The sequence below is a fragment of the Homo sapiens genome, chromosome 2, assembly GCF_000001405.40.
Source record: "Homo sapiens chromosome 2, GRCh38.p14 Primary Assembly".
NCBI lineage: Eukaryota > Metazoa > Chordata > Mammalia > Primates > Hominidae > Homo > Homo sapiens.
In genome coordinates, this window is record NC_000002.12 from 144,699,121 (window position 1) to 144,720,143 (window position 21,023).

The 21,023-nt window shown below is 36.0% G+C and overlaps 1 long non-coding RNA gene across 1 annotated transcript in view, besides 1 other annotated feature; it reads left to right on the forward strand.

Moving 5' to 3' along the window:
- TEX41 (testis expressed 41) overlaps nucleotides 1-21,023 on the forward strand; it is a 408,763-nt gene that overhangs the window by 31,154 nt on the left and 356,586 nt on the right. The window lies entirely within an intron of this gene.
- Nucleotides 12,881-13,531: an enhancer, noted in NCBI's record as "OCT4-NANOG hESC enhancer chr2:145469568-145470218 (GRCh37/hg19 assembly coordinates)". NCBI's record gives its function as "activates a minimal SCP1, AML or CMV promoter by ChIP-STARR-seq in primed H9 embryonic stem cells {active_cell/tissue: H9 hESC(primed)}" and the evidence as "EXISTENCE:reporter gene assay evidence [ECO:0000049][PMID:30033119]".

Here is a 21,023-nt window from a genome sequence, read left to right on the forward strand (position 1 = left end):
CTGCATTTCAATAGGTACTAAATTAACACATTTTAAAAGTAATTAAATGAAGATCTTTCTTAATAGCATTTGACATTTTACTCAAGTAGGTTTTACACAGTTCATATTTTTTTTTCTATATTGTTTCATCTCTTTTGTTGATCAAATGGGATTCCACTCCTCATCACATTCTCTAATGGGTTATTATTCATTATTTATTTTAAATTACTGCAATGAGCTACTTAATATTCATATTTTTCTAATGGATTTTCAATCCTCTAGATTCTTACAGATTTCATTATTTGAAAATAAAGATAAACTTGCCTCATTACTTTTTATTAAAAATACTTTTGAACATATATAATTTAATCATTCCCGTGACTAAAGTTCAAACATTCTGATGAACTTCTTTCCCTAGGTAAACCAGCATATAACTTTGTAGTAGAACAAAGTTACATTCCATTTCGTTATAAATTCCTTTAGAAAGACAAGTTTCAAAAATTATTTCTCTCAAAGTGTATCATTGTGACACCACATTAAGAAAAATCAAAGATAAATAATAGGACTATGGATCCTGCAAATTTTGCCAATGCCTGAAGACATATTCATACATTCATTCATTCATAAATATTTATTGAGGGCCTGGTACATACCAGGAACTATTTTCTATGTTCTGGGGATATAGCAGTAAAACAACAACAACAAAAAAACATATAAACTCTCTCCCATGATGGAACTTATATTTTAGTGCGGAAGAACAGAAAATAACTAAGACAAATAAAGAAAACATATGATTTGTTAGATACTGATAGTTGCTAAGGATGAAAAGATAGTAGGGGAGGGGAATATAAATTGTCAGGGAGGAATGACAACATTTTAGATGGGATGGCAAGTGAAGGCCTCAATGAAAAGATAACAGTTTATTTGTTATCTTTGATAACAATGAAAAGATAACAGGTTAGATAAGATGAGGGACACACCATCTGGCCTTCTGGGAGGCAATTCCAGGTAAGGGGGCATGTTCAATGCAATGGCAAGAAGGATCTGGTCTGTTCTAGGAATGTGCTGTGGTCTGTGTGCTTGGAACAGAGAGATGGGTGAGTAATCAAAGAACTCAGAGATGTAATGAATATGGGTGGTGAGGTTGGGGACAGATAATTCAAGGCCTTGGGTCATAGTAAGGACATTGGCCTTTCCTCTGAGTGATATCAAAAGCCATAAGTAGAATTGAAGGAATAATAGGATGTAACTTATGACTGAAGAGGGTCACTCTGCCTGCTGTATTAAGAATGGACTGCAGGAGGGCAAGGATATCTGTTAAGACCTGTTTTAATAGACCAAACAAGAGATAATGGTGGCTCAGGTCAAGTTGGTAGCAGTGGACATGATGAGAAGTGGTTAGACTATATATGTATTTTGAAGGTAGAATCAACAGGATTTCCTAAATGATTAAATATGAAATATGAGAAAAGAAGTTAAGTTAATGATGCACCAAGGTTTTTGGCTTGAGTAACAAAGGATAGAACTGCCCTTAAGCAAGATGGGGTAGACAGTGGGATAAATGGTATTTTTATTTTGGATGGAGGGGTTGGTTATTAAGAGCTCAGTAGTAAAATTAGAGCAGTAGAACTTTAAGGATGGGCAGATGAGTCTTACAGGGGTTTACCACTCCATTCATTCCTCAGTCCTTACCCTTAAGACCCCCATGATGGCAATCCACTGATGACTGGGTAGCATTGAAGGAAAATGTCAAAATGGTCAGGGGAAAGGAAAGACAGCCTAGCCATCTGCTTCTGTGTAAAAGATTTAGCTAAATTTACTTATCATGATGGCATTTGTTGCCGAATTGCAGAATGTGTTATTATTCACAGATAAACCCTTTATAAAGACTAAGCTTTAGTCACCATTTTATTTATTTATACAATAAATGCTTACCAACTATCTAATCTGGGCCAATTTCTGTGCCAGGAATTGGGGTTAACAGAGAAGTATAAGATTTGGTCCTTGGCCTAAAGCAGTTCACAGCCTGGAGGGCAGAGATACATAAATAAAAGATGAGAGGTATTATTACAAGAGCATGGTCCCAAACTATAAGATTAGAGAATAGAGGGCAATGAACTATCAGGTGGGCTGGGCTGTGTATTTCTCCTTTTCTATTTAATTCTGAGATTCTGTTTTATTGGTATTCTTATTTTTCTTTGTGAATCAGAGGTTTAACTACTAAGAGTTTGCAGGGTAATGTATCATAAGACTCTATGTTGCCTGAGCTGAATTTCCTTCAGGACTTGCAAAATCTTGGGTCATGGGATTCCAACCTAAGATTAAAAAAAAGTCCAAAGTTTCTGTTCCTTGTTTGTAATTCTCTTAAATACGATTATCTAACTTCTTCTCTAAGTGCCATGACAAGGCAAACTTTTCTAAAAAAGGGGTACCTATGTGTAACTTGAAGGTACTGTTTGTGTTCTTTGTAACTGGGTACTTGAGAAGTATGACTAGTAATTTGCAGCAGTGAGCAGTTACAAGAACTTTTTCTGTTGGCGAAGAGTTGAAGATACCTGCATATATTGTATTTTGTTGTTTATCCTTTTGAAGGGCTCCATAAGCACCATCATTCATTCTGTGGAGCATGCACTTTGTACCTGTAGCAATTTCCTTTTCTGTTTTTGGTGTAGACTAGACATCCAACAAGGTTCAGCAGACTTGACTGTTGGTTGTTATAGGGTGGTGATAAACTTCTTAGGTTTGGTAGTAAAAGATTCACTGAAAGAGACAGTCCGTCTTTCTGCCTTTAAATTTATACAGCTATAGCAATTGCTTCTGATTCATAAAGGACAGCTTGTAAATTGTCTACTGAGCCTAAGATTGTCTCATCTTTGAGCTATTTTCTTTTCAGAGTCTTCTGATTTCTGAAAAATAGAGTGTAAGGAAAAGAAGGAAATTCATGGGAAAATAAAATGATAAGTGATATTTATTAATTTATTTGTATGATTTTTAAGTAGCTATGCGAGTCATTTTTCATGGTTGATTTGTGGGGACCAACCATTAGGTTTGTGTCTGGGGCAGGTTAAAAGGAGACTTCACCCCACTGAGTTTGTGTTTGGGGAAGTGTGACTTTGCTTCAGTGCTCCACCACCCTTACCAAGCCCACACCCCTGCAGCTACCAAGAATTATAGAAGTAGTGGCTTAGTGTTCTTCCTATCCAAAGTTCTCCTCCCACCACCTCCCCATCTGGAGCTACCCTATGACTTCTGCTCCATTATCCACTCAATCTACCTAGTTTGGCTAGAGTCACATGCTTAAGATTAGTTTGTGATGACTTCTAATGAAATAATTTTGCATTGATAACAAAGAAGCTTCTTTAAACACTGAAGAGAGCAAGAAAAGGTTAGATCAAGAAATCAGGTATTTAAAAATATGTAATGATATTCTTTTTTTTTTCCTGATTGCTTGTGAACCTGGGGTATAGTATAAATTAAACCAGATCATGCTTGCCCCTGGACTATTTTTATAATAAACTCAATTTAAAATCTTCAACTTTTTATTTCCAATTTTGAATTTTAGTTATATTCAGCAAGATGACATGATTGAAACATGGCACTTGTCCTGCAGGAACTCATGCTTCAGTGAAGCACATTGGTGTGCAATGGTAACAACTATCATAGAAGTCACCATGTTTTAGGTTTTCATTAAGTGCCAGGCACTCTACTTGAGTTTTTTTTTTTTTTTGACTTTTAGCCGCTCCTCACAATACTTGTGCAAGGTTGTAAATGGTTTTCAAATTTAAGATGAGAAAACTGAGGTTCATGGAGGTCTAGTCACTGGCTCAAGATGACAGGCAGTAAGTGGCAAATTAGGGTCTAATATTCAGATTATCACATTCCATGTCTTGTGCTCTTGTGACACATTGCTTTCAAATACAAAGAAAATCCGTATTTCTGGAGCAATGTGAAATGGGTTGATGTGCTTTTGTGTTTATTTGGGTGCCATAAATTAGGAAAAAAATTTCTACACAGTATCCTGATTATATTGTTTTGATTGTTGTTTAACACGGGATAAAATAAGTTGAGTTCAGTTTTCTAGGAAACTGAAATAGGAGGGCAAATAATATTATATAATTTTAGCAAGCATCTGAAACTTACCGAAAGATGTCATCTTCTCCAGGGTAGTCATGTTGGGAAAACTACATTTAACCCAGTGATATTTGCCACTGTTCAAAACTTTTTGTCCCTTTTTATTGTAATTTTCTTTGGATTTATTCTTTTATTCTTCACATAACTAAATTTTATTGTTTTGTGATCAAAATTATTTTTATTTAAAAGAAGACTTGGTCGATTTAACATCAAACTTGGCTCTGAATAAACTTTGGATGTTTACAAAAATAAAATCCACCATTTAAAGAGGACTAATGGCTATATTTGACATTTAAAACAACATGAGGAAGGCTCTGATGGCAATTCCATAAAAATTTCTTGAGCAATCAGTAGAATCAATGTAAGGTTTTCCAAAGTCACTACTTGGAAGTGGGCAACACTTGCTTATTGGTTTGCGTTCTTATATTTTCAGTGAGTGATTGATTATATTATGTATCATCCAGGCAGATTTCCTGCAAGGCGGTAACAACTTGAAGTGTTCACAACTGAAGTGTTCTGGTGTGTGTATGTGTGCGTGTATGTGTGTGCTTCTTTCAGTGTCACCTCTCATAATCCTGGTCCAGTAGCACCTTCCAAAAGATCAGGACTCATTACCAAAAAAAAAAAAAAAAAAAAAAAGAAAAAAAGGGAGCAAGTGAGAGCAAGAGCAAGAGAGGGAGAAAGAGAAATCATCAAAATGAGGAAGTAATTCCTCTAATTATCAGAAACAGGAGCAAAGTAACAATGGCTGCAAGTTACCTCCCCACGGGGGAATGAATCATCAAAATAACTGGTGGAAAACAAGGTTGTGCAACCTTGACTAGTGTGTGTCACCGGCTGGTGGAATTTTTAGAAAGGAGCAGTTTGGGTTCATCACTGTGGTTCGTGATTGCACACACCTGTTTGGGGCATGGATTTTGCAACCCCCCAAAAAGGGGAAACTGAACTTGCTGCTCCTCCTGAGCTGTGTAAAAAAGCAGAAAACCACAGCTGCTTGAGCAGTTAACAGATATCAGTAAAATACCCATGTTACATAATTAAGGATAACGTTCTTGAAGCATATGGGCCGGAGGTATTATACTCTCATTAAAACTTTAGGTAACAAACAATTTAGCATATTCTCACACATTTCTAGGGTTGAATTCTATAATAAATGTTTGTAATTAGATATGCTTTAAGCAGTTTATTAAATAATACATGAAGAAAATGGTTGATGAAATATAGACGATTCTGAGGTCTGTGTACAAGTGACATAGAGGCATTGAGATGAGACATAAAAAATTTCTTCTCAATGACTTGATAACTAGTCACTTTGGGCAGCTTAAGTAAGACTCATTCTTCAGGCCAGCCTGTCTGTAATGTTAAATAAATAGGAATTAATGACTTTGGATTTTTTCTTTTCTTTTAAAGTACATTATATGTAGCAGTCTTCTTTGAACTGCTACTCCTAAATAGGAGGAGGTGCTTTTGACCAGAGCGTTACAAAAATCTCATGCACTTTATTCTGGCAGGAATAGATCAGCTTGATAGGGAATAAAAGGGATGGATACAACCAAACATGACCTAAATCGACATTTAAAAAATCATACCTTAGCCAACAGGTTCTGTTATTTATAAGTTTGAGAGGAATAAGGAAGAGAAGTCTCTTGAGAAAAACCAAGGCAGGTGTTTGCTCCCTGGGGAAGTGATAGGAAACAGGCCTCTAAGATGATATTACATGCAGGAAAGAAATTCTTTCAGTTCTGTGTCTCTGTTTGATATTCAAGACAGCTAATAAATGATCAACAATTCTACCTGCATGAGGAGCGTGTGATCTATGGAAAATGAACTTGGATAATCCTAGAAAGTACCCAAGGAAAGAACGCCCATTTCCTTAAGCCATTGAGGTCATCTAGATATTTTGTTTTTCAATGCACACAAATAAAAAAGCCGGTAACAGAACAAACATGAAATTTGGAATGCCTTCTAGAACATACATGGGGAAACTGGCAAGGTTGACATAGCTTTTACTGATTTGTCTGTTTTAGTAGGTAAATGGGGCTGCCAGTCTGGCAGTTTGCATTGGCAATAAATCACCACTAGACATTTTATTTAAAAATTGGCACTGGCTTGGCGGAGGTAAGGGATTGTCAATTTGTTTTTATTTTGAGGCCAGGCACAATCATAACATACACAGGCCACCTGGAAACTTCAGCCCACATGGAGAAGCATGGCTCATGTCTCTGTGGCTATATTTTTGCATGCTTGGAGAGTGCAGAGTTAGATCAGAGTCTGAAGAGTCTAACCAGAAAGATCCTGGCAGACTGGTACAGCCTGGAGACATCCCTGTTGGAAACCAGGTTTGTTCTAGAATTACTATGTAGGAAGGGTATCATAGATATGATATTGGAGAGAACATTTGGTGGTTTTCACTTTTATTGAGTGTGGAGGGAGACCCACAGAGCTCATGCAGAGCACACAATGTGTGCATTCCAAAAATCACTCGAATATTAAAGGATTGGGTAGCTCGCTCTTTTTTTTTTTTTTCCTGACTTATTTTGCTTGGAAGTTCAGATTCAAACTTGTGATAAATTGAGTCATGGTTTTGAGAGGAAAAAATATACTGAAGTAGGGGATGATGCAACCACTGTCCTCATGTAAGCAATGATAGATGTTCTTTCTTTGAAAATCAGTATAATTAAAAGATAGTAAGATGGAGAGAAGAAAAAGATTACCTTAGACACTTGTAACTACTCCAGTGGAAATAGTTGGGAGGAATCCCCTAGTTTTCCTCTGATTCTTGATTTTCTGAATATCCTTCAAGGCTTCACAATATTGTTGAACAATTTTTTTTGTTTATCCATTTTGAAAATATGAGAATTATTGCATCAGGAAAATTATTTTGCAAATATATTGATTTACCGAATTACCAATCTTTTTGTCTCTGTTGACATATATTTATAAATCTTAATTGTACTTTATATTGTTACTATGCAAACTGCTAGAAAGGATCTGGTTAAGATAGAGATGTGCTGACTTAACCAGAGCCTCATGAATAATTAAATTTGCTCACTTTCTGGAAATACCCAATTTGCTCTTGATACACAAATATTTGAATTGGATTCAACTTGTCTCTCAGATTTTTTCCCCCTCCTGGATTTCATATATATAATTTTGATGACACTGTCTATCAAAAAAATAGGAAAAATATACGCTACGGTTTCTGCTTGGTAAAGTCATTCAAAGTGATATAAAATGTCAATAGCAAACAAGGACATCATTCCAATGATATGTCGAGACACCTGGCAGATTTCCTGGTATTTGGGACATGGGAGTATTTAAAGATACGTGGCATTAATTAGTCACAAACAGTTGAAGCATCAAATATCTAACTTAATAAGATTTTTCTTTGTTTGTTTTCAAATATGTAATGTTAGACTCTTTAGCAAATATTTCCAAATTTCTATTGTGAATGCAGTGAGATCTGCATATCTTACACCACAATGTCCCACCAGTTGCCTGCCTGTAATTGACAACATTCATGAAATTAAAAAAAGAAAAGTAGAAAACTGAGAAATCCCCCAAAGCAGTCACTTGAAAAAAATCCCACAATTCTGCCAGTTTGAGCACATTCGATGCCTGTACTAAATGTCGTATCGGCAAATCTTCACTCAAAGAGATCAAGATGCAGCGTATACAAGACTGAGGATGAAGCAAAGTGTTGAAATAGCTTGGGTAGCCTCCAAAGCAATGTAGGTAATTAGCAGGTGTTTATATTTTTCATGTTGATTTGCCCACAGATAATGTTTTGAAAATAGTAATGTAGGGCTGGGCATGGTGGCTCATGCCTGTAATCCTAGCACTTTGGGAAGCTGAGGCGGGCAGATCACGAGGTCAGGAGTTCGAGACCAGCCTGGCCAACATGGTGAAACCCTGTCTCTACTAAAAATACAAAAATTAGCCGGGTGTGGTGGCGCACACTTGTAGTCCCAGCTGTTTGGGAGGCTGAGGCAGGAGAATCGCTTGAACCTGGGAAGTGGAGGTTGCAGTGAGCTGAGATCGTGCCATTGCACTCTAGCCTGGGCGACAGAGCAACACTTTGTCTCAAAAAAAAAAAAAAAAAAAAGTGATGTAAAAGTTTTCATCTTGGCTTGTATTTCTAACATTTGCTTGGATTTAATATACACATTAACTTGGATTGAAGTGTTCTGATCTGGATTTTTCAAACTTTGATAGCCTTTAAAGCTAATATGTGAACATTTACAGGGTCTTGGGGTTTTCAGGTTAACCTGTTGATTTCAGGATATTAAGCTTCTAGTCTTTACCTTGATCTTTTTCTCTTCCTGTGTTATTGTGGGGCAGAAATTGCATGTGTGTGTGTATGTGTGAAGAAAGTGTTAACTCACTTTGTGACTTGTAGTTCTAATCTTATTTTCACTGTTTAGTTAAAAAAAAAATCCCTTTCTTCCTCCAGAAGTTTTGAAGTGGATAACATAGTTTGTTTAAATGAAATTAATGAGATATGAGATATACTAGGGATAAAAATGATTCAGAGGAAAGTAATATATTTTTAAAAAGATATCTTATTCTGCAAGAAAATAAAATGTCACTAACATTCATTGAGTTTTTTAAACACAAAAGGGCACATCCATGCACATACATTCTCGCACTCGCTTGCTCGCTAACTTAAGCAAAAATAGTCTCTGAGGGAAAGAACTGCAAGAATGGTGCCAACTTCCCCAACATACCCAAGACTTACTTTATTTAGAACCTCCCATGTGCTATTTTTTTTTTTTTTTTAAATCTCTGGAATCTCAGGGATTTTCCCATCCCTGTACATGCTTGAGACGTTTCAGAGCATGGTAACCCCCTGTTGGAATCTAACTCTAACTCTTCTGTTTTATTTTTAAAATGTGGGCAGTATTAGTATACAGGGAAGTGACTGTTCCTATGACAAAGGAGGGTGAGATTCCTAGCGTGCATGGGAATACCGCTAAAGATCACTGTCGGGTAGAGAAGCTGACACCGTGACTCACCAAGGCCTCCTTCAAAATCAAGAGATTTTAATCGAGATTTTAAGTCAAGAGCTTTCTGAGAAGGTGGGCAGAGCCATATATCACAGCATCAATAGAAAACTTAGTTCTATTTCATAGAATATTCATAAGTAACAGTAGATCTTTGCCAAGAGCCCAAGATACAATAGATGTCTAGTCTTTTTCTGTCTTTCAAGTTTTAATAGATTCAGCAGACCTGAATTTTGATAATATATTTGTTTTTAACACAAGTAATAGCAACTTGGCTCTTTTTGTGCCAATCTGTGATAATCTCTGAAGCAATTATCCTCGTATTGTTCCTTTGCATTGTATGCATGAAACCAGTAATATATATTTAAAAGAATATCATATTTACATATTGTGTTTCTGATATAGCACACTGCTGCCTTTACAATAAAGCACAATGTGCAATTGCAGAAAACTCCTTTTCACTTATGAACGTCTGAGTCTGAGATTCACACAAACCACACTTTTGTTAGACTCCAAAATGTGGGTGCCAAATGAATCTACTGCACTAGGCTTATGAACACTACTGCAACTGTGCAGCCACTATTTCTCTACTGGGAGAATTGTTTCAGCAGATAAACCATCTGGCTTGAAACACAGCCCTCTTTGAAAATATTCCCCATTATGTTAGCTCCGAAACAATGTGTACAACTATGCTCCAGTGGAGGACATGGTTAACAGAGATTCAATGTCAAACAATATCTGCTCTGTAATCTCTTGCTAAATGTAAAAAAGGAGGTAATCAAAATGCAAGATTTTAATTCTTTAAAGAGTCATTGTGAATGTGGCATAAGATGAAAAAATTCAGGAAAATATTTAATAAGAAACTATAATAGAGTGTTTAATATAGCAACTTTTTCCTTTAAGGATCATCCATGGAAAATGTGGTTCCTTTTGCTATAAATATCATGAAGAAGGCACATTAATGCTTGTGTTCATTAATTTCCTTTTTAGTAAGGGTTTTCAAATATGAGTTGATTTTGTATGGTGAGAGAATTGTTGGGAGCCGGTATTTGTAGTTAGAGATCCTAAGTGAGCTTGGGTGACTTAGTTTGACTTATGAGTCAGGAACATTATTAAAAAACTGAAACAAATGATATCAGGTAGAGAAAATTAGTATGCAGTGGCAACAGGTAATATCTGTAAACCAGCTGAAGACAGTTTGCTAGAATAGATTTTAAGAATCCAAGCCAACAATGTTACTGTTTGGGAAAGGGAAAAGAGAAAAAGGGGTTTAAAAAATACATTATCTAGATTTGAATCTATTTAGAGTGATATTAAAAGAGATTGCTTGAATTAAGTCATAAGAAAGTTATTGCAAAATTGAGCACATCTGAATCTATCAAACCAGAGAAATCCATGGGGGAAGTGTTTGAGCCATTGGCTGGGGTGATTATAGGGAGTAGCATATTACTGAAATGAAATGAAATTTGGTTAAATCCTGGAAATTACTACAAAGTATATATAGTGAGAAAAAGCTAAGAAACTGAGCTACTTAGTCAGTTGATGGGAAAGATTGATGCCATATGATGATAATTCCCATGAGGCAAAAAAGAAAGTGGTAGTACATGGAGAGGAAACACTGAGTTTTTCCTTCATCTCAAAATTGCCTTGTGCATCAACGATTTTCAGTGTTTTGTCTTAATTTTTATTAGATGGAATTTAGTCTTGATTACTTTGTCATTTCTTCACTCTGGGCTTAGCTATGCAAACGCACATTTCATAACAAACATCTCAACTTTAGACTTACAAGGAACTATGCTGTTACTTTTTAGTAGTACTTTTGCAGATGAGAGAACTGAAGTCCATAGAGTTAAATCACTTTTTCTTTCCTTTTATAATTTTATTGTACTGCATAACCAAGAACTTGTATTAATCAAAGGCCTCATTGCACATGCTGTGATTTCTGAGTAATGATGATTCCTGAGTAATGGTTTCCAATATAGGGGCCTGGTGAGCCATGTGAGTTTACTAAAGGACCCAGGAAGATTTCTGTGGAGGCCTCACCTATAAGATGTTGTGTATACAGGGAGGAGAACAGAGGTCTGTCCCTGAGTGGAAGAAAGGCTCTTTTGAGGGTTAGGATAGCAAGCAGGGAAAAACAAACAAACAAATATTGGGTCCTCATAATATAATTAAGTGGTGCATAGTGAGTGGAGTATATGTTAATCTGTCATTATTTATTTCTCACCGCAATAACTTTAGAAAAATTTTCAACTGCCTACCACATTGGTACCAACTCAGTGACTTACAGAAAACAGAACCCACAGAAACTTAGTCCAGTCTGGTTCTACCATTGTTTCCTTGTTGAAAAGGAGGGATACATAGAGTCTCTCTGTATCCTGGGAAATACACTATACAGTCCTGGAAGCTCTGGGATTTTCAGTGCATTGACGGCCATTAGCCAGAGCAGGCACTCTATTAAGTTATATTGTGTCTATGTTTATGACTAGGAAGTGAACTCTGGATTATGTCTCTAGCAGGAAAAGAACAATCAGCAAATTAATGTATTGGACTTCTATGAAGTCTTCTTTGGTAAAGGTTAATTATCACTCTGATACTGTAAGGTCTGCTGCCGTGAGGAGAGTACTTAACACATGAGCTGTGTTTGCATGTCCCAGTTTCTTTTTCCTCACCAGTGAGCGAGACATACTGCCACATGGAAAGGACAGATCTTTGTTGGAGAGGAAATTGAGTTATTGTTAGACATTAAGAGCCATTTAAATTTTTAAAAACTGTCTAACCCTTCTCCTGAAATTTTATAGATTATCTCTATGTATGTGTTTATTAAATGGCCAAGGCTCTGACAAGTTTTAAAGGTTCACCAAAAATATTTAGATATCAAATAGGATTAATCTTTACTTTTTAAAAGATAAACTCCAAGTAATTTTCATTGTAAAACAGAAAGAATGGAGGATGACTAGAATCTGGAGAGACAAATATTTGATGCTACATACATAAAATTGAACTTCTCTATGTTTTGGGTTAGCATTTTGATTGCACAACTTTTAGAATGGACAAGACAGTTATGCCCACTGATCACAGAACCAAGAATGGGATTCTGAGAAAATCTGAGTTCTTTTCCCCATAGAGCTAGGTAAGGGGGCAATGGTGAATGATGTACTTCTTGCTGCCTTGCATATTTCTTCAGGTAGATGGTGTCTCCTGACCCTTCTAAACATGACAAAGAAAAGTCAATGCTGCAGATTCCAGTAGATTACCTCCTATCTTAGATGAAAGAACAAGAAACTCCCTGTAATCTAAAACAGACTGTATAATCTGATGGTTATCACTGTTTATCCAAGTAAATTAAGCAATTGTTGAAGTAAAAAAAAAAAAAAGAAAGAAACAAAAACCGGCCCCACTAACTGCACTGAGGTGCCAGTGTTCAGGGCAGGTAAAGTAGATTAATAACAGGCCACTCCTGAGAAGGTTTAGGCTCTTACTGTCAGATAGTAATAATTAATGATCAACTGTTAATGGAGATACTGGGCTGTTGATGTCATTAATTCAGCTCAGTGGAGCCAGTTCTGCCCAGGACCTGCCACAGCTGTCACTGCATTTGCTTAATTATTCCAGTGCCTTCAGGCTCTTTTTCTTTCATTTTTTTTCCTTTACGCTTTTTTCCCTTACTAACTATAGGACATTATGTTTTCACTGACGCAGAATTATGAAGAGCATGCTGCTTTCTGGGCAGTGCCAAGCCTAAAATACGTGAAAACCCAAAGGCAACAGAGGAGACCGTCACTTTTTACTTAGATGAAATGATGGAAAATGCTGAAGAAAGGCCATCTTTAAATAGCTTGATTGTGCTGATATAATTTTTGAGTTCTTTAAGGATTTGGATGTCGAAAGTGAACTCTGAGCTGTGTAAAATGTCAAAGTGCTCACCCTCTCCCACAATCAAACAAAGAGAATATAGAAAAAGTGGCGCAAGAGTGTTGGTAAAACACAAGGCCGTACAATCATTCATCCAAGAGGGAACCAGAAAGTTAGCTTTGCTGGGAAGATTGAGGCAAGGAAAACCATGGTGAGGGAAATGCCACTACTGTTAAAATTCAGCTGTAGGAGTACATGAATTTGCCTGCTGTGCTTTCAGAACCTTCTTGCATTTCTTTAGCTTTGTGTCTCTTTTATCTATCACACTGCTTTTAGTTTTAAGAAAACCACTCTTTGCTTTGTAAACATCATTTGAATCTTTCTCCCCTGGCTTGACCTGGTAATCACTATACTGTTTTCTAATTGGAATGAGGTGTTTATTTGGCTTTTCAAAGACCACCCCCCCCCAACCCCTGCAGCCCTGCCACCTTTCAAGAACTTAATTTTTAAAAACTAGTTCCTTGGTTTTTAGGTATATATTTCTAGTTCTGATGTGTTAAACTAGTCCAATGTGTCTTGAGCTTCCATGCTGGAATGCTGCTTGACTCTCTTCCAAACTGAAGTGCTTAAAAAATGTGAGGCACTACAACTATTTTAAATCTCTCTCTACGCTGCACATGGTGATTTAAAATAATTGAAGCTCTTCAAATTTTTATATGCTCTCAAATTTGGAAGTGATTGGTTCTGAGCATGTGCAGTACACAATGATTTAAGGTTATTAGAGTCTCTCAAATTTATCATGAGTGTTTCAGCTTGTGAGTGATAGGGGAACCTGGACTTTGGCAGCTAAAAATAATTTAAAAATTATCATTACACTCTGATGTTATAGAGGTGATCAGAATTCTGGACACTTGTGTACATTTTAAAGCTCACTGTTAAAATGACTCCTTTTTTAGATGCAAAAGGTAGTATTAGCCCACCAGAAGATGCATTTAAATAAACCACCTAAAATGCACCATAACAGAATTTTACTTTCACTGACATATTCCCCATTGATGACCTGAATAGGATCATGATTTTAAAGCCAAATGCTCAAATTTGGCAAGAAAAAGAACTGTTGTCTTCTAGCCCAATCATAACAAAGATATGTATTCAGTAAAAATACCTGACACGTTCTGGTGACAACACATAGAACCTATAGTCTGTCCTCATAAATTATACCATTTTTTGCTTTAAAGGACAAGGGGCTTTTGAACTACTACATAAATGATCACTTCTAATACATGGCTAAATTAGTTTTTTATTTAAATATTCCAAATAAAGTGCTTTTATTAAAGGTTATTAAACTTAAAAATGTGTATTTTATCCTCTCTTAGATGAAATATATGTGTTCATTTCTTAAGCCTTCTGTTTGCTTTGGTGGATGTTGAACCAAGCACAAAGAAAGGTACTTACTTATGAAATGTACAAGATAGAATACTCAGATGATTTACTTGGTCACTTGATGGTCACTTAACATTCCTTAGATCTTTTACCAAAGGATATTCTCTGAGCGGGAGCAGGAATATTTAAACTTTTGCTGAGTGCCCTGATGCCAGGATTCTAACATGTAAGGTAGATTTATGGTTCAAAGATAATATTATATAAGAAGAAATCCAGTCATTAAGAAGTCAGCTAAAATTCTTAACATGTTTTGTTTGTACCTTTGAAAGCCACATGGATGCTCTTTTACTTGATTTAAATGAAAGTGACAAAGGTGAAATTCCAGCACATTTCTCAGTCACTTCCCTTCCTCAGTAAATGTTTTCATTTTGATAAAAATTAGGATAAGTTGATTATGGATTTTATTTTTTTTAACCAAAACCTGGAGTTGGAGTTTGAAGTATTCTGGCACATGAAAACCATCTGATCTTATAAACTAGCTTTATAAATCCCCATATTTTTAATAGGGCAGAAATTTAACAGGATTAGAAATAGAAAATGCTAATAATAGAAACTATGTTGTATTTGGGATTTCTGTAACCCTGGGGATTTAGGGCTGTGAACTATGTAAAGTTCCACATTTGGTATAGCAGTCAACCTTTGCCCTCCAATTTATTATTAGTTTTTAAAGTTTGAAAAATTTTCTTATGTTTATGTATTTTTAGTCTCCAGTATTACTTTGCTCGTTTGTGCTGAATTTTGACAGGCAGAAAAACAATCTAGGCGAGCTTGTTCAATTTTTTGTGGCTGTGCTAAATTAAGAACATGTCATGTCAGTGGACTAGCGTTATGCTATTAAATAATTGAATTAATCTTTATTTAGGTCACAGGTAGAATGAGTATAATCTTTGCTGAACACGGAAGAATGCCTGGAAATTGCCTACTCCCAAAACATAGTTACACCAAAACGAAGTTTGTGCTTTTAGCTCTATCAGTTTGAAGTCCTTGGAAATGGGAAAAGTTACTTGGAAAGACTAACCTACGTTTGAGAGTTAGTTCAGTAGACCAATTCAAGTAAACATCTTGTATGTATTGATATGACTTTAAAAATAAAGAATGCCATTATTCCATATTTTAGTATTGCCTGCAGGGATAGCTGTTATAGTTTCTGAAACAATAAGAACATGAGTTACCATTAAAAAAAATAGCACACAGAATACACAACCCTTGGCCTTGAGAGACTGTTAAGGAGGTTTCTCAGGTTAAAACTCAATGTCCTTTTCAATTGCTTTGCAGTTTTATAGAAAGATCAGCTTAGTAAATCTTTTTCTATCACATATAAAATAGATCCCAGGAAGAACAAAAGGGATAATTAAAAACACCCTGAAACATAAAACTCGAAGCATGATATATGTGTTTGTTGTGTAGGTGTAAAAATATTTTTAATTTAAAAATTCTAAGAGAAATGATTAATACATTTGATTTCAAAGCAGTGAAGAGAAAAAGCCACTTCTGTACATCAAAAATAGCAAAATTGAAATACAAACAATAAGAAATATTTCTATAGATATCACAGCTGAGTTAATATCTATAATACAAAAATATCTAAATATATATAAAAGAATTAACACCTTAGTAGATAAAGAGGAAGGGGTAAAAAATGGTGAAAATAAAAATAGTTAAATTTATGAAAATAAGATATAATGAAATGGACTGTATTTAATATAAAATGAATAGGTTGAGATTAATATAATTATAAAATTTCTTAATTACAAGCTGTAAACATTTAAAGAAGGCCGTCATTTATTAGGTACATGTTTTTGAGTCTCTGCCAGGTACTGTACTAGGTTCTGAGGATATAGCTGTGAGCAAGATGTAAATAGTATACAGCCTGGAGAAGCTTGAATCTCTGGTTGGATTACAGAAAGTTAACAGGCAAATACAGGATGGTGTGATGATCACTTTACACCCAATCCAGACTTGGGGAGTCAGAAAAAGCCTCTCAAGGGAAGGAAGACATGGGTCCAAATGATTAGCATCATCCTTGTCTCTGCTTTTTCCCACAACCCTCATCCAAATCCCTCAGCAGACTTCTCATAACTACTTTTGAGATACACCGAGAGTCTGACCACTTTTGCATTCTTTAGTCCTATTATTCTGCCCAAGCTGCCATCACCCCTCTCCTGGATTATTGTTATAGCTTCCCACTTGGTCTCCTGCTTCCATTCTCCCAAACTATTCTGTTTTTGACACAGCCACCACTTCTGCATTCTTTAGTCCTATTATTCTGCCCAAACTGCCCTCACTCTTCTCCTGGAACATTGTTATAGCTTCCCATTTGGTCTCCCTGCTTCCATTCTCCCAAACTATTCTGTTTTTGACACAGCCACCAGGCACTTATAACCTGTGCCTTCTCACAATCCTGCAGAATTTCACAAGAAGACCCAGAGCCTTCTCTGATCTTCTCAACCCTTCATGATCCACCCCAGGAGCTTGTCTTATCTGAACCATGCTATTATCATCCTCTTTCTTCTCTTCCCCAAATGCACTAAGTTATTTTATCACTTCATGAGTTTGTACTTGCTGTCCTCTAGACTAGGAAAGCTTTTCTCTCAAATACGTGTATGACATTGCTTACTCACTCTGTCCATGTTTCTGCCCAAAGATTACATCATCAGAAGCCTTCCTTGACACCCTGTGTAAAATGGCGGTCCATGTCTTGCTCTGTGCTTTCACTTTACTTAGCTTTTCCTTATATTATTTATCACGTCTTGACATATTTACTATTCATTATCTGTCCCTAATGTAAGATTATTGAGATCAGGGACTGTCTCACTGAGGGTTCAACCAAAGAAACAGAATCAATAGGAGTCTGCCTATGTATGTATATATGTATGTATGTATGTATGTATGTATGTATGTATGTATGTATGTTTCTATCATCTATCTATCTATCTATCTATCTATCTATCTATCTATCTAAGAACTGAATTGTATGATTGAGGAAGCTAGTTAAGCAAGTCTAAAATCCAAAGGGCAGCCCTTCTGAAAGAGAAGATTATGGGCTGGCTGAAACTCACAGGCAAAGGCCTATGCTGCTGCCCACAGGCAGAATTTTTTTTCCAGGAAGCTCAGTTTTGCTTTTAAGGCTTTCTGATGAACCACATTGGCCACCCAGATTATCTGAGATGTTTTTTCTTACCTAAATTAAGTGATTATGGATTTTACTTATATCTGCAAACTCCCTTTACATCAGCATCTAAATTAGTGTTAGATCTAGATTAGTGTTGGTTAAATAACTGGAGACTCTATGCTTGCCAAACTGACCCATCAGAAAAACCATCACATTGGAAAAACTTTATCTGCGAATCAATAGAGCCCCAGACACACAGAGGGAATTTAACTTATTCAGAAGCATTTCTGCATAGGTCTCTGCTAGGTGCTCAGAGAATATTTGGGAAAAAGGAAGAGAACTGGAGAGAGTCCCCTCAATGCTTTAGGTGTGAAGGAGGTGATTGGCTGCCAGGAGTAGGGAGATATAAATCTCCTTTCCTGGACACTTTTCTTCTATGAAGAAAAGAACCTGTCAAGGGAAAAGCAGTAAAGCCCCTCTTTCAGGTTCAAGTATTTCTTCTGAGGAGAAGAGGAAGCAAAATTTGTCTGCTTCTTGCGGAGGGGACAGGAGAACGGAGGGATAGGAGATGATCTCTTAGGAAACAAGCAAAATTCCATTGCTGTTAGAAATGATGAGATAGTGGAAACAAACAAACATAAAACATCCTATCCCCAGGAGAGCAGCAGAAACCCGCCTTGGGCTCAGAATCCAGTATATATAACAATCAGAGATCTGCTACTTTTAGGGGAGAGATGGAAAACTCCCACCCAACTACAGATAAAAGGTAGAGTATTGCTGCCATGAATAGGTGGGGCAGTAATGCTGAGAGGGCCCAGGCATGGGCCTAAGACTGAGGCTGGACTGGGACAAGAGAAAACTTCCTTATCCCCATCACAGCTTGGTGCTGAATAACAAGGGACAAAACAGTTTACTACTGAGGGAGGGAACAAGGGCAGGGAGAGAAACCCATATGTGGTGTAGGTCTTCACCATAGGCTGAAAGTTAATGAGAGAACAGAATCACCCAAACTCTAGTCACATCTTGACTAGATTGGCCGAAATTCCCCACACTAATCACTTTGTAGCAGAAGGAGGATGCATGCTTCCAAACATAAACCTTATTAACTACACTCTTTACTATTATTCTTGATACAATGTTTGACATTCAATAAAAAAAAAATTACAGGACACACACAAAAAAGCAAGAAAAAGCAACCCATTGTCAAGAGAGAAAACAATTGACAGAACTGGAATTAGGTATAACACAGATGTTTGAACTATCAGAAAGGGATTTGAAAATAATGACAATATGTCAGAAGCCTTGTAGAAAACATGGAGAATATGCATGAATAGTTGAGAACTTTAGCAGAGAAAATGAAACTATCGAAAATAAGGTCAAATGAGAATGCTAAAAAAAGAGAGCAAAAGAAAACAAAAAAACAAACCAGACACATGGTATTCAAGATGAAAAGTGGCTTTGATGGACTTATCTTTAGACTGGACCTAGCTAAGGGAGGACACACTGAAGTTGAAGAAGGGACAACAGAAGGTATTCAAAATGAAGCATAAAGAGAAAAAGGAATGAATAATAAACTTAGCATCTAAAGTCTGCACAACATCAAGTGGTGTAATGTATGTGTAATTGTAATCTTGGAGAACAGAGAAGGAATGAGGAAGGAGGTATATTTGAAAAGATAATGGCTAAGAATTCTTTTTTAAAAAAGTAAGAGATCAAACCACAAATAGAAAAGCTTAAATAATGCCTAGGAGGGTACATACCAAAACAGAATGAAACTAAACCAAACCACATCCAGACACATTATAGTGAATGTGCCTAAAGCCAAAGAGTAAATCTTGACAGAAGCTAGAGAGAAAAGAAATATTACATTGAGAGGAACAAAGATAAGGATTACACCAGAATATCTGTCAGAAACTATGGAAACCAAAAGCCAATGGATTAACATCTTTAAAGTACTAATTTAAAAACACCCACAAAACTGTCAACCCAGAATTTTATACCCAGAGAAGATATCATTCAAAAATGGAGGTGAAATAAAGACACTTTCAGATAAGATGAAGTTCAGGAATTTATTGCCAACATGCCAGTACTACCAGAAATGTATAGAAGTTCTCTAAGAGTATGATACCAAATGGAAACTTGTGTCTACACAAAAAAATAACAGAAGCAATGATAGAAACCAAGGTAAATTTAAAAGATTTTAAAAATATCTGTTCACTTTAGAAGATAATTGACTGCCTATAGTAATGATTTAAAAATGTATTGTGGATTCATAAGTTATGTAAAAATCAGGTGTCTGACAAATGTAACACAAAGAATGGGAAGGAGGAATTGAAAGTATATTGCCGTAAGTTTCTTACACTAAAAATAAAATGGTATGTTATTACTTAAAAGTAGATAGTGATGAGTTTGAAATTTATATTGATATTCTATGGCAACTCCTAAAAAAGGCATGATAAATAATTTGAGATTAAATAAAATTATGAAAAATAATTTGCTAATACAAAAAAGCAGGAAGAGAGAGAAAAGGGAAACAAAGAACAATTTGGACAAACAATGCAACTAACAAAATGACACTTTTTAAACTAACCATATCAATAATTATATCAAAAGAAAATCCTCTAAGCACTCCATTAAAAGACATTGTTAAAACAGCAGGACTCAGTTATATGCTTTCTATTAGAAACTCACTTTAATTATAAAGACACAAATAATTTAAAAGTTAAAGAATTGAAAAATACTATGAAAAACCCAATCAAAAGAAAGATGCAGTGGCTATAATAATATCAGATAAAGTATTTTTCTCTTTTTTTGTGGTTTTGAACTTCCGTTTATATCTTTTATTTTATTTTATTTTATTATTATTATACTTTAAGTTTTACGGTACATGTGCACATTGTTCAGGTTAGTTACATATGTATACATGTGCCATGCTGGTGTGCTGCACCCATTAACTCGTCATTTAGCATTAGGTATATCTCCTAAAGCTATCCCTCCTCCCTCCCCCAACCCCACAACAGTCCGCAGAGTGTGATGTTCCCATTCCTGTATCCATGTGTTCTCATTGTTCAATTCCCACCTATGAGTGAGAATATGCGGTGTTTGGTTTTTTGTTCTTGCGATAGTTTACTGAGAATGATGATTTCCAATTTCATCCATGTCCCTACAAAGGACAGGAACTCATCATTTTTTTATGGCTGCATAGTATTCCATGGTGTATATGTGCCACATTGTCTTAATCCAGTCTATCATTGTTGGACATTTGGGTTGGTTCCAAGTCTTTGCTATTGTGAATAGTGCCGCAGTAAACATACGTGTGCATGTGTCTTTATAGCAGCATGATTTATAGTCCTTTGGGTATACACCCAGTAATGGGATGGCTGGGTCAAATGGTATTTCTAGTTCTAGATTCCTGAGGAATCGCCACACTGACTTCCACAATGGTTGAACTAGTTTACAGTCCCACCAACAGTGTAAAAGCATTCCTATTTCTCCACATC